The sequence below is a fragment of the Homo sapiens genome, chromosome 10 (genome assembly GCF_000001405.40).
Source record: "Homo sapiens chromosome 10, GRCh38.p14 Primary Assembly".
NCBI classification, from domain to species: Eukaryota; Metazoa; Chordata; class Mammalia; order Primates; family Hominidae; genus Homo; species Homo sapiens.
This window is the reverse complement of record NC_000010.11, coordinates 72,890,695-72,914,845: the sequence shown is the minus strand read 5'-3', so window position 1 is coordinate 72,914,845 and position 24,151 is coordinate 72,890,695. Positions and strand designations below refer to the sequence as shown.

The 24,151-nt window shown below is 41.7% G+C and overlaps 1 protein-coding gene across 2 annotated transcripts in view, besides 1 other annotated feature; it reads right to left on the bottom strand.

Annotated features, from left to right (window-relative positions):
• Positions 1 to 21,107, bottom strand: part of OIT3 (oncoprotein induced transcript 3) — a 39,298-nt gene extending 18,191 nt beyond the window's left edge. For both annotated transcript variants that reach the window (NR_130125.2, NM_152635.3), the window contains exons 1-6: positions 20,987 to 21,107; positions 15,808 to 16,182; positions 14,362 to 14,469; positions 8,128 to 8,250; positions 3,007 to 3,129; positions 1,378 to 1,538 (exon numbers count right to left, since the gene is read on the bottom strand). Coding sequence is in view for 1 of the 2 variants with exons in the window: in NM_152635.3 (NP_689848.1) it covers positions 1,378 to 1,538; positions 3,007 to 3,129; positions 8,128 to 8,250; positions 14,362 to 14,469; positions 15,808 to 16,182; positions 20,987 to 21,047 (951 nt within the window). In the remaining variant the exon portion in view is untranslated. The remainder of the gene's footprint in view (positions 1 to 1,377; positions 1,539 to 3,006; positions 3,130 to 8,127; positions 8,251 to 14,361; positions 14,470 to 15,807; positions 16,183 to 20,986) is intronic.
• Positions 15,879 to 16,089: a silencer, noted in NCBI's record as "fragment chr10:74658515-74658725 (GRCh37/hg19 assembly coordinates)". NCBI's record gives its function as "represses an EF-1alpha promoter that drives an FKBP-Casp9 reporter gene in an ReSE screen in HepG2 liver carcinoma cells {active_cell/tissue: HepG2}" and the evidence as "EXISTENCE:reporter gene assay evidence [ECO:0000049][PMID:32094911]".

The window sequence follows — 24,151 nt, the reverse complement described above, 5'->3', positions numbered from 1 at the left end:
GGCAGACCCACATATTCCTTTGGAGTGTTACTCATAATACCTGATCTATGCAGAATCAGCGAATTCAAAGCTCTGGTATTTTAGAAAAGGACAGCTTCCGCCTGTTATGTTTCTTTCAGGAGTTTTAGACCTGGTGATACTGCGGCAGCATGACCTTGTGTGAACTCTTGCACACTCAGAATTTTGGCTGTGGCATTTACCGGATGGTTTTCAGCTTTTTATCACCAGATTCCTCTGCTCTGCCATGCATGGGACAATAGTACCAACCTACCATGTGGCATGTCCATTTGATTATCCACAGATACGATCGACATAACTTGCCTCAAGTGGGACCGCCTGCTCCTTGAATATCCCTCACTTGTCTCACTGCAAGTCGAATCAGCTTTCTGATTTTCATTTAGAGTCATAAATAAATATTCATTTAACCAAAGGATCGCAAAGGCCTCCGTGCTGATCCAGATGCAGGCCCCCTCTGCTCTATCCATCTTGCAAGTTGCTGTCAGATCATGGCATTCATCACCACATCACCTAAACCCATTTCTGTGGGATCAAATCCAGATGGCTCACCCTAGCACACAAGGCAGGCCTTTGGAAGCTCAGCCCACCCCACCTACTTTTCCGGTTTCATTTTCCAGTAGGCTAAACTCTCCACACACCTCTGCACAGGCCTGCATATCCCCTCTCAGAGACTAGCTCACTTGTTTCCTATCTGAAAGGCCCTTTCTTTTCCTCTCTGCTGTGTAAACCACACACACACTTCCACCTGGATCCAAGTCCCACTTGTCTTGACTGCTCCTGTGTTTGTCCCTTGACTGGACTCCTACAGGACCTGTCATCTGTCTCGCTGTTCATCCTTTCCTTACATTTTCTGTGTCGTCATCTCAATTCTGCTGTGCAAGTTCCTAAAAGGCAGGATTTCATACATTTCTAACTCTCCAGCACAGGGCTGTGTGCAGATTTTTGGATGAAAGTATAAACCTTTTCACTCAACCTGGTTCAATACTTGAACTCATTCACTGCACCACAAATGAACCACCAACTGTATTAGTTGCTTTCTTCAAATAAAATAATTGGTCAGAGAGGATGTAGCCAGCCTCCCAGTACCACTGGTACTGATGCATTCAGGAAAATGTCTGTGCATGCTGGAGAGATGGGACTATTTGAAAACAGGAATAGCAGAATTCTTCACAGTGCCAGGACCACAGCAGATGCTCAATAACACGTTGGTTAAAAGAATGACGTAAGATGTTTTGAGCTCAGTTCTTTTGTGTGTAAATATCTCATCGATGACACAAGCCACATGGCATACCTCTGTCCACTGCCTCCCAAATAACCGGCTTTTGGTCATTCCCCAAGTGCCCTCCAGGAGGAACCTACATCGACCACTGTACCACATGTCTTGAGAGAGAAGAGGATGTTGACATGGGTGCCGTTGGACACTCCTCGGCAGGAGGTGTTGGTCAGGAAGAGCTCCAGGCCACCAACCAGCTCCCTGGGGATGTTCACTTCAATGGCATTTGATTTGCACAACACAGGGACTGCAGAGAAAAAGGGCCACTGTTAGAGCCAGGAAACCTGAATCGGGAGGAAGGCTTTTAGGAGAAATAATTTCACCCTCACACAACCCAAGCTTTTTGTTCCATCCCCAAGGAAATCAGAGGGGCTGAAAACAAGTTGGTGAATAAAACCACTATTCTTAACTCCCAAGATTATGGTGAAATAATGTTCCTCAAATATATGGTTCCCTGAATTAGGAAATACCAGGTTCGACTTTCAATTCACCAAACATTGGTTTCGAAGTGTAGACAGCATAACTCTGTGAACTGAAACACCTAAGATATTAACTTTCAGCACAAACACAATTTATTAGCAACACAGAAAAAGTGCTGCTTTGATATAGGCCTAAGGTACATAACGATACTGCTGTGACTTTACCATTAATTACTGCCTCGTAAAACAGAGACAATAAAAACAGTGTTAGTGCACTTGGGAAAGGCTTCCAAATTGTCCTTGCATTGCTCAGGAAACCATAAACTCTGACTATAAATTTCACCACTTTACCTTAATATAAAAAAGATTGCTTTTCCTTAGCATTCCCAGGTTCTTCTCTAGACTCTGCAAGTATCCTGAAAAGAATACTTGAGTTCTGTCAGAGTCCAATACATGAAGACATATCATAACAATGGTATTGTGCAAAGAAATCAAAAATAGGTGCCCATTACATATTTGTTAGATGAATGAATGAATATTCTGGACATCAAGAACTAGATTTCCAGGCCAGGTGCGATGGCTTATGTCTGTAATCCCAACACTTTGGGAAGCCAAGGAGGGCGGCTCACTTGAGGTCAGGAGTTCGAGACCAGCCTGGCCAACATGGTGAAACCCCGTCTCTACTAAAAATGCAAAAATTAGCCAGGCATGGTGGCACACGCCTGTAATCCCAGCTACTCAGGAGGCTGAGGCAGGAGAATCACTTGAACCCAGGAGGTGGAGGTTGCAGTGAGCTGAGATCACATCACTTCACACTCCACCTGAGCAACAGAGTGAGACTCTGCCAAAAAAAAAAAAAAAAAGAAAAAAAAGAATTAGATTTCCAGAAAATAATTCTCAGAGGATTGTTAACCCTCATATCCTAAGTGTAGGGAGAAGAATATGTTCCTCAGGCCTTTCAACTGAGTTCACTTAGTTTCAACCCTGTTAGAAAAGACAGGAGATGTATCAATGTCTTATGCTTCCATATTGAGTATTAGTCATACAACTAACCATAGAAAGCAGTCAAAAATCAAAGGTAAACAGCAAAGGAAAGTTAAGTTTTTGGTAATCTTTTCTTAGAGATCTTCTCTGTTAAATGATTCCAGAGTGATGATTCAGCAATACACACTGCTCGAAGAGCCATTGTTCTAAAAGATGAGAACCCTGACACACTTGGGGGAGGAAGACAAAGAGCTTTGGGAGAGGAAGAAGTGTAATCAGAGTAGAGACAAGTCCCCCTGCCCCATGTACTACCTTGGCAAGTGTGGTTATCCTCAGACAGCACCAGGCCCCGGGGACATTCACACTGGTAGCCTTTCTCAGATCCAAGGCAAGAGTGGCTGCAGCCACCATTGTTATTGTGGCATCCTTCAACGTCTGCAGTAGAAACCAACAGAAAAGGGAATAATCTCGTAACCCTCTACCCCAAGAATTCTGGCACTTTGCATCAGGGATTATACTTAACTTATGGCAGCATCCCTGGTGCCTAACCTAGTGACTGGACATTCGGGCAAGACCTCAAGGAATGTTTATGAAATATCATAGCTACAAAGAGCAATCTTCCAACATCCATAACTCTACCCAATTAAGCTGGTGAGGAATTTTGTAGCATGTCCTTCAGGTTGGGTTTGTCTGATGTTTTTCTCATGGTTAGCCTGGGGTTATGAGTTTTTAGGACTAGGACCCAAAAGTCATTTCTTATTTGCTGTAACATTTAATCTACCCAATTTGACATTTTATAGAGCATTATTGATGTAAAAGAGACTGATGGAATATGAATTCACCTGAACTGGCTGGATGGATCTGACTTATTGTGGACTGGCTGGGTCACCTGGCCCTCTCCTCAAATATTTAGGACAAGAGCACTGGGGGTAAACGGCTTTGGGCTGATAGCACACTATAAAAAGGAGGCCTGGACAACATGCTGAGTCCATTCAACCAAACCCTTGGTGATGGTCCTTTCACAGGATGGTTTTGTTTAATTTTCCTTTTTTAATGTTTTACATATTCAAAAAGCAAACTCAAGCCAAATGGACAAAAAGGAAAAATATTCCATTGAAAACAAAAGAATCTACAAGGTGATTTTAAATTTAACAGAGAAAAAAAAAATGACCTTTGTGGGACTTGGACATTATCTTCTAGGTCAGAGGTTGTCAAATTCTAATCTGCACACATTATTACAAATAAAGTTTTATTGGCACATAGCCATGTGCATTCATTTACCTTCATGGCTGCTTTCTCACTACAAGAACAGAGTTGAGTAGTTTCTACAGATTCTGTATGGTCCACAAAGCCTAAAGTATTTACCATCTGACCTTTGGAGAAAAGTTTGCTGACCCCTGTTCTAGGTTAAAGTAAAGAAAGGGGATGTTTTCAAAACATCTGAGACACTCAGGTAAAGAGAAAAGCTGATTTCCAGTTATAGCTATAACTCTCTCAGTTCAATAATAGTTTTTAAAAAGCAGTTATTTGGAACATGAATTAGTTTTTGTGAAATGTATGTAGAGAAAAATATGGCAATGAATTACTCTTTGCAACACTTAAGAGATTAATACCAGTTTATACATCTGTATTTTTTTTTGTTTTTTGTTTTTGTATTTTTAGTAGAGACAGGATTTCACTGTGTTAGCCAGGATGGTCTCGATCTCCTGACCTTGTGATCTACCCGCCTCGGCCTCCCAAAGTGTTGGGATTACAGGCGTGAGCCACCGCACCTGGCCATTATACATCTGTGTATTTTTAAAGGATAAAAGCACACCTAGAGGCTTTTGAAATGGCTGAAGATTATATATAATACTATAGAAGAAAGCACAAAAATATGCTATAAGATGTTAAAATGAACATTAATAGCACTTTTTTTCCTTAAAAGTTACCTTCCTTAAGTCATTTTATTTCTCTGAGTCACAATTTCAATATCTGTAAAATGAAGAGGTTGCACTAAATGTTCATTCAGGATATTTCCAGGTCTAAAAATACAAAATACAAAATAAACTGAAAATTTAAATTAGCTTAAAATATTTAAGTCTCTCAGGAAGATATACCAAAATGTTTAGAATGGATATATCTGGCAAATGGATTGTGGGTCATTTAAATTATTTTCTCTTGCTCCTCTATATTTTCTTCTACACTTTTATGATAAAACAAAACAGGTCAGGCGCGGTAGCTCACACCTATAATCCCAGCCCTTTGGGAGGCCAAGGCAGGTGGATCGTGTGAGGTCAGGAGTTCAAAACAGCCTGGCCAACATGGTGAAAGAACACGAGGTCAGGAGATCGAGACCATCCTGGCTAACATGGTGAAACCCCATCTCTACTAAAAATACAAAAAAAATTAGCAGGGCATGGTGGCAGTTGCCTATAATCCCAGCTACTGGGGAGGTTGAGGCAGGAGAATCGCTTGACCTGGGAGGCAGAGGTTGCTGTGAGCTGAGATTGCCCCACCACACTGTAGCTTGGGTGACAAAGTGAGACTCTGTCTCAAAAAAAAAATTAATAATAATAAATACAAAATAAGTAAAACAAAACAATAAAAATTACTTAAAAACTAACAAGAGCTGAATTAATGCAGGAACAGAAAAATACTGCATGTTCTCACTTGTAAGTGAGAGCTAAACAATGGGTACACACAGACATAAAGATGGGACAAATACAAACTATATAAAAAGAGACACAGGGAGCCTGGCACAGTGGCTCACACCTGTAACCCCAGCACTTTGGGAAACCGAGGCAGGTGGGTTGCTTGAGCTCAGGAGTTCGAGACCAGCCTGGCCAACATGGTGAAACCCTGTTTCTATAAAAATACAAAAACTAGCTTGGTGTGGTGGTGCACGCCTGTAGTCCCAGCTTCTTGAGAGGCTGAGGTGGGAGGATCACCTTAGCCCAGGCAGGTGGAAGCTACAGTGAGCCAAGATGGTACCACTGTACTCTAGCCTGGGTGACAGAGTGAGACCTTATCTCAAAAAAAAAAAAAAAAAAAAGACACTGGGAACTCCAAAAGGTAGGAGGAGGGAGCAGGGTGAGGATTGAAAAACTACCTATTGGGTACTACATTCACCATCTGGGTGATGGGCTCAATAGAAACCCAAACCCAGCATTAAGCAATATATCCATGTAACAAACCCGTGCATGTAGCCCCTGAATCTAAAAAAAAAAAAATTAAAAAGGGCCTTTTTTTTAAAAAAAAAGAACATATAATTATCAAATAGCTTAGCTAAAGAAACATATATGTTTGGACTATCAATAAAACTTAAGGGTTATAAACAGGAATATTAATCCTAAAGTATAACTCACACTTAATTTTCATCTTCTGCTAAAATATTTTTTCAGTTATGGTTATTAGTTTTTAAGATTATATAAGGGAGGATTAACTGCAATCTTTCCAATAAAGTACTCATAAATAATTACAAATGTTTTTATGGAACATTTTATTAATATTCAAATATACAAAGATTATTACATAAAATAATTAAGATTTAAGGAGGACTCTGGATACTACGCCTATTCAATAAAGTTTAAAATACATTTAGACTTATTATAAGGAACAGTAATTTAATATTCTGGTTAATGGTCTCTCAGTTAATAATGCAAAGTTTGTTGCATGAAATAAAATATGGACAGTAGCCATAATTTTTCCTTTTGGGGTAGTATTTTTATTATTTTGAATATTGCTAGAATAAAGTGAACTTTTGTAACCAGTACCACAGCTCTATTATTCCACAAATTTAATTATCCTAAGGAACAAATATATGTCCTCTGTAAATAATAACAATTACACCATTTATCTCTCCATATAATCTGCAGGGTGTCATGAGAACTCTGACTTATTAAAGTAGAAGTGATGGGATTTTTTTTTTTAGCTGGAGTCTCTCTTTGTCACCAGGCTGGAGTGCAGTGGCGCTATCTTGGCTCACTGCAACCTCCACCTCCCAGGTTCAAGTGATTCTTGTGCCTCAGCCACCTGAGTAGTTGGGATTACAGGCGCCCGCCACCACGCCCAGCTAATTTTTGTATTTTTAATAGAGACGGGGTTTTACCATGTTGGCCAGGCTGATCACGAACTCCTGACCTCAAGTGATCCACCCGCCACAGTCTCCCAAAGTACTGGGATTACAGGCGTAAGCCACTATGCCTGGCCGAAGTGATGGAATTTTAGTTGTGATAATTTGCAAGGGTAAATGTGCCTTAGAGAAGGGATATTATCTAAGTTTCATATAATAATGGTAGGCAATTTCCATTTCAAATATTTGATATATATTATGAATTCTTTTTTATTAGTTATATAAATGTATAAAGTCCTATAAAATGTCTGCTATTAAAAATAGATCTAAAAGTAAAATAAAATAGATTATTTTATTTATCCCCCCAAACTGTATTCCTCTCCCATAAACACAAAGCATATGGGGAGGAGAGGAAATGGTTTCATGTAAACCAGTTTCTCAAACTTCCAAGATGATAAAAATCACCCGTGGAACTTGTTAAAAACACAAACTCGAAGTCCCCATCTTAGCTCCTCTGAAGCCAAGGCTCCAGGAGAGGGTCTGGGAGGGGCTAAGCGTAAAAGCCCCAGGTGCTTCTCAGCAGCAGGGAAGTTTGGGAAACACAGCTGTCGGCCAGTGGTTATGCTACTGCCTCTATTACCTGGCCAGTCCAGGTGTGCTCCTTGGACCAGCAGCATAGCTGACTCCTAGAACTTGTTTAAAAATGCAATATCTTGACCTGATCTCAGACCTACTAAATCAGAATCTGCATTTTGACAAGATCCTAAGTGATTCGTGGGCACATTAAAGTTTGAGAAATACCAAATATCCACCCTCCTTTTTTTTTTGAGATATTTTCTCTCTGTTGCCCAGGCTGGAGTGCAGTGGCGCAATCATAGCTTAATGCAGCCTCAAACTCTTGGGCTCAAGTAATCCTACTGCCTCAGCCTTCTGAGTGGCTGGGACTACAAGCATGCACTACCATACCCAACTAATTTTTATTTTTTAATTTTCTGTAGAGGTAGTGTCTTACTATGTTGCCCAGGCTGGTCTTAAACTCCTGGCCTCAAGTGATCCTCCCACTTCAGCCTCCCAAAGTGCTGTGATTTCAGGCATGAACCACTGCACCTGGCCAGAACACCCTATTTTTATTTCTCACATAAAAATGTGGCTTTCTGCCTCTTGCAAAATTCCCTCCTGTTAAATCTTAGAGACAAAATCAAAACTGAATTCTGTCCATAGCGTGAGTATTCTCAATGTTGATGAACGCCTTTTGTCATTTCTTTGCACAGCCAAACGGTTGCTCTCTTCGGACACTAAGGCAGTTTCCTGAACATCAGAGAATAAGCCAGTGGCTTCCTCTGGGCTCTTGATTTGGGTCCCTTTTTGCCCATTCTCACCTTCACAAGTCTTGCCATCACTTCTTAGCACACGGCCAACCCCACACTCACAGCGGTAGGAGTTTTTGAGGTTCACACAGATCTCACTGCAGCCACCGTTGTTTTGCTCACATTCATTTTCATCTGCAGAAGAGAAACCACACTGTTTCTATACTGCTGAGTGATTCAGCCTTTTCCCAACCCCCCGGGCAGAATTTCCACATCTTTTCAGATCCTGTTGATGCACCTTCCACCATCCAGCTCCCCCTCTGATCCAGTATCATCACTCCCATCCACCTGATCTCCTCAACCACGTTATTGGTTCATCTGCCCTTTGCTGAGTGGAAGGTACCTAATTGCTTGCCAATTACCTTCTCTTCAGGGAAAAACAATGGGAAAATGAAGTTCCTTTTGAGTCGTGGGTACACCTACCTATTTGTATTGGTGAATTTCACTTTCTTTAATGAGTTCCTGAGAAGTTGCTAAATAAATACAAACTTATAAAGTAAATTGTTTTAAGTCATGAAAGGAGCTTCCATTACAGAAGGAAATAGCTGATAAAATATTTTGTAAGGCAATTTTCTTTTGTAACATGAACTATTACCCTCAAAATCTGTTTTTTAAATTAGTATATTCTCACTCTGTACTTAAGCAATGATTGCTAACCTTTTTAAGAATCTGATGAAAGGTATGGACTCTTGTAAAAAAATGCACAGTTGGCAGCAAATGTCTATGCTTTTCTTTCTACAAACAAGGAAAAGGAAGCTTGGGAGCTAAATTTGTCATAGTCCTCAGGAATAACAGGCCTAGATAGGACATAAACCAAGGACTGGGGTTAAACACCCATGCGATGACAGGAGGCATGACCTTGGCCCCAGGAGAGGAGATAAGCTGTGACTGAAACCCTGCTTAAGTCTAGGACCCCAGAAGATGTATCCCCTCAATGAGATGGGGAGAACTTTGCCCAGTGGCCCAGGGAAGCAATAAGGAAACTCTGCCCAAGGCTCTAGGAGAAAGAAAAGCCTTCACAAGCAATGGAAGCCCCAAGCCAGGGCTCTGCCATGGCTGAAGTACGGTTTTACACTTCCCACATGGTATGGGGAAACTTGAAGCTGAGAAATTGATGGAAAATTTGGCCTAGGTCTGATAAAGCATCTGTGATGCTGACAGGAGCATTTGAAAAAGTGCTCTGTGTAAAACTTCCTCAAACCAGGTGCTGTGGTTTGGATATTTGACCCCTCCAAATCTCATAGCGAGATTTTTCTTTTTTTTTGAGACGGAGCCTCTGTCACCCAGACTGGAGTGCAGTGGTGTGATCTCTGCTCACTGCAACCCCTGCCTCCCAGGTTCAAGCGATACTCCTGCCTCAGACTTCCGAGTAGCTGGGATTACAGGCACGCACCACCACGCCCAGCTAATTTTTGTATTTTTAGTAGAGACAGGATTTCACCATGTTGGCCAGGCTGGTCATGAACTCCTGACCTCAAGTGATCCACCTGCCTTGGCCTCCCAAAGTGCTGGGATTACTGGCATGAGCCTCAGTGCCTGGCCTCATATTGAGATTTGATCTCGATGTTGGAGGTGAGGCCTAATGAGAGGTGTTCAGGTCTTGGAGGCAAGTCCCCTGTGAATGGCTTGGTGCTGTCTTTGCAGTAATAAGTGAGTTCTTGCTCTATTAGATTAGTTTCAGCGTGTTTAAAAGGAGCCTGCCACCTCCCCCTTCTCACTCTCACTTCCTGTCTTGCCATGAGATCTCTGCACATGCCAGCACCCTTCACCTTCCTCCATGAGTGGGAGCAGCCTGAGGCCCTCCCCAGATGCTCAGTCTCCCAGCCAGCAGAATCATAAACCAAATAAACCCATTTTCTTTATAAATTACCCAGCCTCAGGTATTCCTTTATAGCAACACTAAACAAAGATACCAGATGACACGAGTGGTGTCCTACAGAAAAAACTACAACAGAAGATGGTCTGCCACAAGACACTTACATGAGGGATGATCCACTGTGAGAGAGCATTATCGTGATAATTAGAGGCTTTGAACTGGAGATAACAGAATTATCCAGAAAAATCCATAATACAAGTATTTAAAGAATTAGTAAAAAGATAAAAGAAAGGATAATAAGCAAAATAAAAGAAGTGTGTAAAAAGACAAGGCAGAACTGAAAACAAACAAACAGAACTTGTAGAAATGCAAAATGTTGATAATATTAAGAATCTTTATCAGGGCTCCTTCTTTCCCTTTCCTCATTATACTGCCTGGAAAGTAGATGGTTAGAGGCCCACAGCCTTCCTGGATGTAGACATGGTGACATCCGTGCTTGGGTAGGTCACTTAGAAGCCTCTATTCCAAGCCTGGACTGCTTATCTTGGACTGTAGCAGGACAAGCCGCAGACAAAACCCCTCAGACAGCGAGTTAAAGAAGGAAGGGCTTTATTCGGCCGGGAGCTCCGGCAAGACTCAGGTCTCCAACAACTGAGGTCCCCAAGTGAGCAATTCCTGTCCCTCTTAAGGGCTTACAACTCTAAGGGGGTCTGCGTGAGAGGGTCATGATCGATTGAGCAAGCAGGGGCGTACGTGACTGGGGGCTGCAGGCACCGGTAATCAGAACAGAACAGAACAGGACAGGGATTTTCACAGTGCTTTTCCATACAATGTCTGTAATCTATAGATAACATAACCGGTTAGGTCAGGGGTCGATCTTTAACTACCAGGCCCAGGGTGTGGCGCCGGGCTGTCTGCCTGTGGATTTCATTTCTGTCTTTTAGTTCTTACTTCTTCTTTTTTTGGAGGCAGAAATTAGGCATAAGACAATATGAGGGGTGGTCTCCTCCCTTAGGACTGATTTTTTTTTTAATATGAGAGAGAAATAAACTTCTACTTATTTAACCCATCATTATTTGGGGTTTATTGTTATAGCCAGTGAAGATACTCTATGCCCCAGCAGTTCCATTCTTATGGGTACCTGCTAGAGAAAATCTCACACATTGGGTAAGGTATCATTTTTATGTTAATTCTAAGAACACACAAAACAATGCTATCTATTGTTATGGGTACATACATAAATAATAAAAGCATTAAAATGGGATGAGAAGAACACATGTTAATTTCAAAACAATGATTACCCCTGGAGGCTGAGAGAAGAAAGCAGGATGGGGTGGGATGGCTTTACTGTATTTACAAAATTGTATTTAAATTAAAAGAAAAAGGGGGCTGGGCATGGTGGCTCACGCCTGTAATCCCAGCACTTTGGGAGGCCAAGGTGGGTGGATCACCTGAGGTCAGGAGCTCAAGACCAGCCTGGCTAACATGGTGAAACCCTGTCTCTACTAAAAATACAAAAGAATTAGCCAGGCATGGTGGTGAGCATCTGTAATCCTAGCTACTCTAGAGGCTGAGGCGGGAGAATCACTTGAACCTGGGAGGTGGAGGTTGCAGTGAGTCGAGATTGTGCCATTGCACTCCAGCCTGGGCAACAGGAGTGAAACTCCATCTCAAAAAAAAAGAAAAGAAAAACAAAAAGGAAGCAAAACTTAACTCTAGTTAAATCTAGGTACATGAGTGTCTGTTATATTATTTTCTTGTATGCTGCCTGAACAAATTATATAATTTAAAATAATTAAAATTATTACATTTAAATAAAAACTAAAGGAAAATTGACACATGCTTACAAACACAAAACACTGTCTACAATTTCAGAGGATTCACCATCTCCCTGAAGTCCCACAGACCCCACATAGGAACTTGGGGCTTTGATAGAAAAAGATTGTCTAAGATAAATTAAGGAAGAGATGTGAATGATATGCTACCTTTGATGTTTAAAAATGGCCAATAAGTAAACATATTGATATGATTTGGCTGTGTCTGCACCCAAATCTCACCTTGAATTGTAATAGTCCCCATGTGTAAAGGGTGGGGCCAGGTGGAGATAATTGAATCATGGGTGCAATTTCCCCCACACTGTTCTCTTGGTAGTAAGTAAGTCTCACGAAATCCAATGGTTTTATAAATGGGAGTTCCCCTACACATGCTCTCTTGCCTGCTGCCATGTAAGATGTGACTTTGCTTCTCATTCATCTTCTGCCATGATTGTGAGGCCTCCTCAGCAATGTGGAAGGGTGAGTCAATTACACTTCTTTCCTTTATAAATTTCCTTTATAAATCCAGGCTTGGGTATGCCTTTACTAGCAGCATGAGAACAGACTAATACACATATATATATTTACATTTTTAAATCTGACTGTAGAAACCCTGGAAGCACATATAAGAAAATAATACAGCCGTTTCCTTGGGATGGAGTTGGGGAAGAGGGAAATGGGGCAAGAGGGTGACTGAGAGCTGGACAGTTTGCTGTATACTTTTTCATGTTGTTTAATTTGGGAACCATTTAAACGTATTACCTCTTCAAAAGTTATATTAAAACAAAAGCAAAGAAATGCATGAACAACTCCTGGCTTAAAATAAAGCCAAATATTTTTGAACAGAAATACATGAGGGTGGGCAGAGACTTCAGGAACCACTATTGCCCCTACCCCAAGGCATTTAGCATTAAATCACATACTCAAAATCAATCACACGAGATCCCTAACAACGCCTATGGCAGAGCCGAAACATGCTTCACAGGATGGTCAGTGGGGTTCATTTAGGAGGCTTTATTTATTGAAGTATTTATGTTTTGTTTTGTTTTGTTTTGTTTTTCAGAGACAGGGTCTTGCTCTTTCGCCCTGGCTGGAGTGCAGTGACACAATCAGAGCTGATGGCAGCCTTAAATTCCTGGGCTCAGGCAATCCACCTACCTCAGCTGAGACTACAGCTACTTTGGAAGGCTGCCACCATGTCTGGCTAATTTATTTTTATTTTATAGAGATGGGGTCTCACTATGTTGCCCAAGCTAGTCTTAAACTCGGCCTCAAGCAATCCTCTTGCTTCGTCCTCTCAAAGCGCTGGGATTACAGGCATGAGCCATTGCCCCTGGCTCATTTAGGAGACTGAAGAGCAAAAGCTTTTCTAAAACAAGAAGCTACTTGGGCCCAGGATGTCGAAGCTGCAATGAGCTGAGATCACACCACTGCACTCCAGCCTGGGCGACAGAGCAAGATCCTGTCTCAAAAACAAACAAACAAACAAACAAAAACCAATAAGCCTTTTATGCTCCTTTCACCTTAATCTCCTACCTCAATCCTGACCTGTTACTGTTCTTCTTGGGGGACCAGGGTAGGGCAATCTTCCCCTTTCTCTCTAGACTTGTTTTAAATCTATTTGAGTCTGAATCCAAAAAGCTTCATAACATTAAAGAGAAAGAGAAATAATATTCAATCTTGGGGTTTTCATCTCTGTTCTCTTCTAGTTATAGACAACATAATATAAAATTCAAGAACTCTGGATTTCCTACAGACAATCTGACTCATCTTTCTTGCTACTCAGAACAACCAAAATTGTATCAGTGAAGCTAGAGGAGTAAGTCCTTAGATAATTCTAGACCAGACCAGTGCTGTTCAACAGAAATATAAAGCAAATTACATATTTAAAATTTTTTAGTAGTCATATTAAAATTTTTTAAAAATAAACTGGCGAAATTAATTTTAATAATATATTTTATATAACCCAATTATATGCAAAATATTTTCACTTTGATATATAACCAATATTAAAGATATTATTATTATTTTTAGAAACAGAGTCTCGTTCTTTCACCCAAGCTAGAGAGCAGTGGTGTAACCATGGCTCACTGTAACCTTGAACTCCCAAGTTCAAGTGATCCTCCCACCTCAGCCTCCTGAGGAGCTGAGACTATGGGTACCTGCCATCATACCCACATAATTTTCATATTTTTTGTAGAGATGAGTTTTTTCTTTGTTGCCCAGGGTGGTCTCAAACTCCTGGGCTCAAGCCATCTGTCAGCCTCAGCCTCCCAAAGTGCTGGGATTACAGGTGCGAGCCACCGTGTGTAGCCAAACATCACTTTTAAAATTAAAATAAAATTAAAATTCAGTTTTTCAGTCACACTAGCCACATTTCAAGTGCACCATGGCCATCTGTGGCTACCCTAGTGGAGGGCACAATTCTCTGCTGTCCCTAATCATGATACAAATTTGGCGTGGGGCTTTCGGTCCAGGCATAAACTAAAAAGCAAACACCATTCCAAGTGTTTGGAGACACACACTGGGAAAATGATGGTGCTCTGAGGCAGGAAGAGTTTTTGATTTGTCCTTTCGATCCTAATAGCCTGATTCTACCTTTGATGAGTTTCTTACCAAAGCATGTCTGCCTGTCAGGGCCTAGCACAGTTCCTGGAGCGCATGTGCACTCGCTGGTATCTGAGCAGCTGCCATGGCAGTCCTCGTCGCAGATGTCATAAAAATCTATGGAAGAATAAAGATTATCTTCATGAGGGCAGGAGACCAGAAGACACTCTTTCATTCTTTTTAGAGATGGTGCGGGGGGTCGGGGGGGGTGGTATCCCTATGTTGCCCAGGCTGGCCTCGAACCCCTGGGCTCAAGCAATCCTCTCACCTTGGCCTCCCAAGTAGCTGGCACTACAGGCATAAGCCACTGCATCCAGCTGACCCTCTTCTTGAGAGAGCCTCATAAGTGCAGCCTGGGGGATGAGTTTCCAGCCACCATCAAGGGAATCCTCATTGTTCAGGGTTTATATAAACCAATGGAAAACAACAATCTAGGGCATCTTCTGTCATCTAGATCAATGATTCCCAACTTCAGATCCACAGGCCCTTGAGTGGCCATAGAGTTTCTGCAAATCCAAAACCTCACCATACAAGAGCTATAGACTAAGAAAGTGTTATGTCCTACTCTTCTAGTGTTCTATTTAAAAAATGAATACAGACATTGACAGGATTAATAACACAGAAATTAAAAGTATTACTGACATAAAGTAGCTTCTTCCCATTGTATATCACTTAAAAAAATCAGTGGACACTAAACACAATCCAATCACATGGATGTCTGATTATCTATCTATCATCTATCTATCTATCTATCTATCTATCTATCTATCTATCTATCTATCTATCTATCATCTATCTATCTTAAAAAGGGGTTCTCCATACTCAAAAGTTGGAAATCCACCATTTAGATAATCTAAATCAGTGTTTCATTTTCTTTTTTTCTTTTTTTTTTTTTTTTGAATCAGAGTCTCACTCTGTCACCCAGGCTGGAGTGCAATGGCACGATTTTCGCCTCACCGCAACGTCCACCTCCCGGGTTCAAGCAATTCTCCTGCCTCAGCCTCCCGGGTAGCTGGGGTTACAGTTGCCTGCCACCACGCCTGTCTAATTTTTGTATTTCTAGTAGAGACAGGGTTTCACCATATTGGCCAGGCTGGTCTTAAACTCCTGATCTTGTGATCCACCTGCCTCAGCCTCCCAAAGTGCTGGGATTACAGGCGTGAGCCACTGCGCCTGGCCCAATGTTTCATTTTCTAATGTTTTGTTTGAATGGAATTCAGACAAAATTAAAAAGAACTGATCAAAGTCATAGCTCCTTTCCCCTTCTATTTCTTCAGGAATTTTTCAGAAGTTCTAAGAAGAGATCTCAGAAATCAGAGGTATCTTTAGCCCCACATCAATGTTGTTCAGATTGAGATATAGTTGCCACTGTAACTGCATATCCTATAATTGGCACTTTTGGACTCCACCTGTGGCCTTGTTGGTGGAGAAAAAGAGCACAGGGAAGGTACTCACGACCACAGTAGACGTGGAAGCAGACGCTGGGCTTGGTCAGACGATACACATAGTAGCCTCCAGGGCAAGCCTTGACTTCCACCGTGGTGTTCCAGAGACAGCAGTTCCCATTGAAGCTGGCACAAGCCTGGCGTTGCACAATGCCGTCGCCTTCTAGGGGGTGGCTGCCATTGAGCCAGACAGGTGCGTGGGTTCCACAGTGGTTTTCTGGTATGCAGAAGGTAGGCATGGCATCTCCCGCCATGCCCGTGAAGTGGTACCACTCCCCATTCACATGGTTGTCACATAGAGGAGGACCTTGAGACTCATCCAACTGGTGGTCAGTGTTCCTCCAGGGCTCATTCAGGCTGATGTAAGCAGAACAAGGATCTAGGGCTGGAAATGAAAAAGATACCTCAGAGTACCTGGAGTGTTTCGGATCACACCACCAACAGCCCAAGTCCAACTTCTTGGTCTTGCATTTGGACATTTTTGAATTCCAGAGAGAAATTAGTTAAGGTCACAAAAAATAGCTGTTTAAGGTTCCTCAGGTTGATTTAAACATGTTGCATAAATGCCCTTTTCAAAAGTATTTCAAACCTAAAGTTAAGTGTTAGCATTGAACTGAATTTTTATCCAGAGTAATTATTTGATAGAAGGATAGTTGATCAGACCAAGGGAGGTTAGGATTAAAGACTCACTGAACTCTGCACGAGTCAGACCACACTCTGAGTATTTTGTTCATACATGGAGACTGTATTATTATTATTTTTGAAACAGGGTTTGGCTCTGTCACCCAGGCTGGAGTGCAGTGGTACAACCATGGCTCACTGCAACCTCCGCCTCCTGGGCTCAAGTGATCCTCCCCACCCAGCCTCTGAAGTAGCTGGGACCACAAGCGTATGCCACCACACCTGGCTAATTTTTTTTTTTTTTTTTGGTAGAGATAGGGTTTTGGCATCTTGCCCAGGCTGGTTTTGAACTCCTGGGCTCAAGTGATCCTCCTGCCTCAGCCTCCCAAACTGTTGGGATTACAGGCATGAATCTGGTGCTCGGCCGGAGACTGTATTTTATGAAAGTAATTGACAAATTTGTTCAGAGAAAGTTGAACAGACTTAGAAGGGGTCCTAAAAATTATTTACAGGAGAAGTTGAGAACTATCATTTTGAAAAAAGAAGATGGAAGAAAATGCATATTAGTTTTTAAAAATCTGGAACAGGCGTGTGAAAGAGGAATTAGCTATTCTGTTACAAGAACAAGAATGAATTATGGGAAAGCACGTTTCAGTTCAGCTATCCAGTCATGGAGAGGCTGTGTCACAGTGCAGTTAGCTTCCAATCCTTGGAAATTTTCAAAAAAGTATTTGGCTGGCCATTTGTAAAGATTATAGGTGGAATTTTGCATTATTAGAAAGTTTGACTTGATCAGGAATGTGTAAAAGCTCATTCCACTGAAAAGAAAAAGGCCTCGGGCACATGTCACCTACTTTGAAATACAGAGTATACTAGCATGTTGTTACCAGAAATATTCTCAAAGTGAATTTTGGTATATATTTTACCAGCTTATTGAAAATACCAAGAACTTTGTGTATTCACAGTTAACCATGGCATTACTATCCTAGCTGTCATATAGCCAAGTTTCTCAGGCATACATATTTAGTGCATAAATTACAAGGACAAATATCTCAACCAAAACATTTTATTGTATGTCATGAAAACATTGGAAAACAACATTTTGGCCAGGCACAGTGGCTCACACCTGTAATCCCAGCACTTTGGGGGGCCGAGGCGGGTGGATCACCTGAGGTCAGGAGTTCGAGACCAGCCTGGTCAACATGGTGAAACCCCACCCCTACTAAAAATACAGAAATCAGCTGGGCGTGGTGGCACGTGCCTGTAATCCCAGCTACTTGGGAGGCTGAGGCAGGAGAATTGCTTGAACCCGGAAGGTGGAGGTTGCAGGGAGCCGAGACCACACCATTGCATTCCAGCCTGGGCAAGAGAGTGAAACTTCGTCTCATAAATAAACAAACAAACAAATAAATAAATAGAAAAACAACATTTTAATGACTAAAGAACCAATATCTCCAATATTCTCATTGCTCCCCTTAACTCCAGGGAAACTAATTAATGAATCAACATAGGTAAATTGTCCTTATGAAGAATCTATGAAACCAAGAAATTCTAGAAAGGAACATTGGCCAGAGAGTACTATATTATCCTTCTTAATGCACATGAGGTTGACTTACGTAACTGATATCATAGGCAGGAAATTCACATTAGGGCCAATACATTTTGTGGGCAGGGAATTCAGTATTAGCAAATACTGCACAAAAATTAAATATGAATGGGCCATGATCACCAAATCTAACTTGTCTAGAAAATACTTTAGATTTTTCCAATCTACATATCCACAATTCAAAGTTAAGTTTACTCTCTAAACTTCAGTCACATGTAGAGAAAAGTGTAGCCCACTGCTAATGGCCTCCAAGAAAATATGACAATGTAAGACAAGAAATAAGTGGGATATTGCATTTTCTGGAAATAACACGCAGGGTTGCAAATGGCAGAAACAACCCTCTTTCTTTAAAATGCCCCTTATGTATCTCGGCTGAACCCTAGACCATAATCCTTTGAGGGGAAGAAATATCCTCAGATTCTTTCTCCCATCAAAAGGGACAAATTTCTTCCTCCTTTGCTCTCCCAGCTGTGACTTTTTCTTACAAATAAGGTTTCCAGAGCAGTTTCACAGGTGATTACAGAGTCATAGAAATATTTGATTCCTCTCCCTGGCTCTAATTTTATAAGAAATGGTTAGATACTTAACTTTTAATCGCTTCTACAGAAACTCCTAAACCTCTCTCAGTAACTATTTCCTTATTTATAAAGTTTTTCCTTCAAGTTAAATGTCATTTCTTGGGCTGTTTGCTAAAAGTTCACTTCCTCCCCTGCTGTAGGGGAGATAGGGTATGAGGAGGAAAAGTTTATCTACCATCTTCTATAACTAATTAAATAATACATATATATTTTTAAAAGTTAACCATCCAATACTTTCTGACATTTAACGTACCCATCCCACTCTACCCCCTTTTAAGGCAGCAATCCAATCTAATAATCTGGCCACTGGTCTTATATCCTGTTTTTAATCTCAGCGTGAAGCCCAGAATCTGGTATTGCGCACATTCATCCTAAAATGCTGATCTATACATCTCAGTGCGAAGGCTTCAAAAAGAACAGCTTCCTGGCCTGCCAGAAGCTCCTCAATGGTTTGCTAAGATGCCCACTTGCCAGCTGCCCCTCTGCTGTCTTCCACCAGGACCACGCAGGGCCAAGGGCAGGGAACCATGTCTGCGTCCCCACCCTTTCGCCCCAGGGTTGAGTCCTCCAACCCTCCAGGTCCTATCCGGCAGACAGCCGCCCCTGAATCACAGCCCCTTTTCGACCCTGTGCCTGAGCTTGGTCGGGAAGTGCCCCTCCTTTCCTGCTCCATCCTCTTCCATCCTCCTCCCTCATCACCCCACTTTGCTTCCCCCTTTCTCATCCCTTCTTTTCCTCTTCTCTCACTTCCCCTGTCCTCTCAGGGCAAACACCAGCTCTAGTTCCCAAAGTTCCCCCTTTATCATGCTTCTGGCATTGAGCCAAATATCATCCTTGAGGAGCTGGGGGTTGGAGGAAAAGATCTGGGAAGGGCGATGGTATATGGAAAGAATGGGGAATATAGGAGGTACTAGAGGGAGAATAGGTAAGGAGAAGGGTGGGAAGAAAGGGGAGTGGAGATTTTCGGGAGGACAACTTTCTGAGCGACCCTTGGGTTAGTTATTGGCAGCAGATAGGGGGTGATTAATGACAGGTAGCTCAAGCATATTTTTTGGAATAGTTTTGGATTTACAGCATAATTGAGATGATAGGACAAAGAGATCCCACATACCCCACACCCAGTTTCCCTTGTTATGACACGTTACCTTTAGCCATACATTTACCACACATTGGCATGGTACCTTTGTCACATTAATGACCCACTATTGATACCTGATTATTAACTCAAGTCCACACTTATTCAGATTCCCTTAGTTTCCACCCATATCTTTCTGTTCCAGGATCCCACATTACCTTTAGGTGTCAGGTCTCCTTAGGGTCTCAAATCACCATTTTTATTTTTATTTTTATTTTTTTGAGATGGAGTCTCCCTCTGTTGCCCAGGCTGGAGTGCAGTGGTTCGATCTCGGCTCACTGCAACCTCCACATCCCGAGTTCAAGTGATTCTCCCGCCTCAGCCTCCCAAGTAGCTGGAATTACAGGCATGCAACACCATGACCATCTAATTTTTTTGTGTGTATGTATTTTTAGTAGAGACGGAGTTTCACCATGTTGGCCAGGCTGGTCTTGAACTCCTGACCTCAGGTGATCCACCCGCCTTGGCCTCTCAAATGCTGGCATTACAAGTGTGAGCCACCGTGCCTGGCCACAAGCCTATTTTTAATGTGTATCCTTTCAGGTACTAGAGCAACCATGAAGAAATAAGCCAGGGTCAATTAGATACTGAGCTACTCAAAAGTGTCAAGAAGGATGGTTCTCTCCATCTCACCCCCACCCTCTGTTCCAGTTAGTACTCACATTCTACTAGAAAAAGATGCAAGAGAGAAATCTGTTAGTAACTGGAATTGAAACTTTTCTTTGCCTGACTGGCCAGTTTTGCACCAAGCCTGAGGAGGGAGACAATTTAAGATTCACTCGATCTGTGCAAAAAGTCTTATTTTCTGACATAAAGACTAATGAGTTTGGTTTATCCAGATCTGTGCCCCCCATGGCAACAGAGCTTTCAGTCCCTTGCCTTCATTAAAGAAAAATTCTATGCTCAACTTTAATTTTTTTTTTTTTGGCTCTTCAAGTTGGAACTATAAAGTGCCTAGAACACAAAGAAGATAGAATTATTTTTACACATACTCCAGGAACTCTTTAGCTAGTGAAAGCTGTGGGATATGGCAGATCCATGGAAATTTTGGAGTCCAGGCAAGAGGCTAAATGGAACATGTAACAGAAATTCTCGGGAAATCTATTTTCAAGGATTATTAGGGACTTTTCTTACAAGATTCTAGAGCTAGCATTTAAGGTACTGGAATCTAGTTCTTAATCATCTGTACATTATAGCAAATTGCCACAACAAAAAGTGCATTGTGCCAAGTTCTTGACATGAGACTCACCCACGGGTGACACGGAGGTGCCTGTGATGAAGAGGCAGGTGAGAAGCAGGAATGGAGGCATCCTTCTGGACCAACTGCCAGAAACACTGGAAAATCCTCTTAATACTGGTGTTCCTTTGTCCCCTTCTCTTTCAAGCACTTTTTTTTTTAAGGCCTCTAGGCTCTCACGAGAAAGACTTTATCAGCACTGGTAGGGGCTTTATCAGAGGAAGAGGATGAGGATGAGTGGGATAAGGTGTCCACAGCTCTGGCCTTGGCCCCAGAGAGAAGCACTGCTTTACACTGTCAACAGGGTTCCTTTATTAATAGTTTTCTTTAGGAAAAAAAAAAAAAAACACAACTCACAATCCCTCATCCTCCTATTGTTTTCTCTCAAGAATTCCCTGCAATGAAACCCCAGTATCTTATCCAGAAGGGAATTCTAAATGAGGGACATCCCTTCACGTCAAATTCTTGCTTTGTGACTTCTAGGAATTGATTTCACAATGTTGCAGCCATAGCACTGCACACTAAACGAGAATGGATGAAGCCAAATCACTGCAACTGTCTTGGTCAGATGGTTGAGGAGCTTATAATAGCACACAAAACAAAGTAGTAAGGACAGGTATGAGACAAGGACAGTATTCTCTTGAAATAAGCTCCTGAGTTTGTTTTATTACGGTCTTTGGCCTCAAAACTTCTGAAAGAAACAAGGTTTAAATTGTGTTTTTACTAATTCAAGCAGCAATACCTCATATTTTTATTGTCTTTACTCCCAAAATTAAAAAATGGTTTAATGTTATTTATTTCACTAATTCTCACATTAAGATGGGGTAGGAGCTTAAAATTAGAAACTACTCATTAAATTAACACTCTGGAAAATTAAATGTCAAAATTTCCTGAAGTTTCACTTTTAGACAAAGGAGAGAAAATGTGCTTCTTAGCACAATTTTTTTTTTCAGACGGAGTCTTACTCTGTCGCTCAGGCTGGAGTGCAGTGGTGTGATCTCGGCTCATTGCAAGCTTCGCCTCCCGGGTTCACGCCATTCTCCTGCCTCAGCCTCCCAAGTAACTGGGACTATAGGCGCCCACCACCACGCCCAGCTAATTTTTTTGTATTTTTAGTAGAGACAGGGTTTCACTGTGTTAGCCAGGATGGTCTCGATCTCCTGACCTCGTGATCCGCCTGCCTTGGCCTCCCAAAGTGCTGGGATTACAGGTGTGAGCCACCGAGCTCGGGCAATCACTGGTTTTTGACAATGACAAAAGTACACATGGTCTCCAGAAGCACAGGGTTTATGGTCAAGCAAGGGGTTTCCATTGATCTAAAATTGTAGTTAGCTACTTCATTACTAACATCAGTGGGACACAGGCAATTTGACCATTAACTTATTAAGTTGTGGTTTGATGGCAGCAATGGATGACTCTGCTGTCTCATTGCAGGATAGTGTTGCTAAGTATCAGTGCTTTAAACAGAAAAAACAATCCCCCACAACTTCCTGCGCCTAGGAAGCCATCTGAGGGCTTCATATGTGTTGCAGAGAAACAGAGGACGTGTGCATGAGATAAACCCAGACTTGTTGCCAGGATTGATTGCTGGAGTCAAGGACTTTCACCAGATAGCCTTTGGTTCTGTAAACAAGAATTCCCAGGATGGTAAGATGTTTTTTCCCCCTTATTTCTATTTTTTCCTTTTTAGTTGACCTGCTCTTTCATTTTTTACTTTTTATGATGAAAAATTTCAAATATATATACAAAAGTATAAAGAACAATAATGAACACTCAGCTATAATAATTACTAACATTCTATCAATTTCATTTACATACCAGTATGCATTTCTAACACATTGTATTTTTTTACATAATCATGATGCTTTTATTACAACTATGAAAATTAGTAATAATTCCTTAACTCATATCCAATCCATATTTAAATTGCTCCAATAGTTCCAAATATTCCTTTTATTGCTGGGTTGAGTCAGGATCCAAACAAGATTTATATATTGCATTTTGATTGTCACTTAAATTTATTTTTATCAGCTGGGTGCAGTGGCTCACACCTGTAATCCCAGCACTTTGGGAGGCCAAGGTGGGTGGATCACCTGAGGTCAGGAGTTCGAGACCAGCCCGGCCAACATGGTGAAACCCCATCTCTATTAAAAATGCAAAACTAGCCAAGTGTGATGGTGCACGTCTGTAATCCCAGCTTCTTGGGAGGCTGAGACAGGAAAATCACTTGAACCTGGGAGGCAGAGGTTACAGTGAGCCGAGATTGTGCCACTGGACTCCAGCCTAGGCAACAGAGGGAGACTCCGTTTCAAAAAAAAAATATATATATATATATATATTTTTATCCATAATGGTCTTCCCCCCTTCCTTCCATTTGTTGAAGAAACCCCATCATTTGTCCTACAGAATGTTCCACGTTTTGGGTTTGGTGAATTGCTTCTTTGTGGTGTCTTGTAGTCTTTCCTCCCCCATATTTAATGTTAATGCTTGTTCATATGTTACAATTTTTCTAAATTATGTGCTATTAGAATTTAAAAACAAAAATACTCTGGTGACATTGAGAGAATTTAATGTACAGAAGGCAATGCTAGAAATAGACCAGTTACGAAGAGGATAAATCAGTCTAGGATATATCTGAGCTAGAGTAACAATTTGAGAGCTACCAACATATAAATGGTAATTTAAATAGGGGAGAGGGGTGAGATCACACCCATGGAAAATGGGGTCCAAGATGGAACCTTGGGGAAGCCTAATATCACAGATGTGGGCAGAGGAATAGGACGCTGTAAAGGAGACCAAGAAGTAGTCACAGATTTACGAACGGAAACCCAAGGGTGGAGTCACAGGAGCTGAAGTTCAAGGAGGAGGGGTTGCTCAGTGAATGATGCATTTATAAAATATTAACATTTATCAAATAAGTATTTTTTTTTTTTTGAGACAGGGTCTCACTCTATAACCCAGGGTGGAGTGCAGTGGCGCAATCTCAGCTCACTGCAGTCTCTGCCTGCGGGGTTCAAATGATTCTCCTGCCTCAGCCACCCAAGTAGCTGGGATTACAGGTGTGCACCACCATGCCCGGCTAATTTCTGTATTTTTAGTAGAGATGGGGTTTTGCCATGTTGCCCAGGCTGGTCTCGAACTCCTGAACTCAAGCTATCCACCCACCTTGGCATCCCA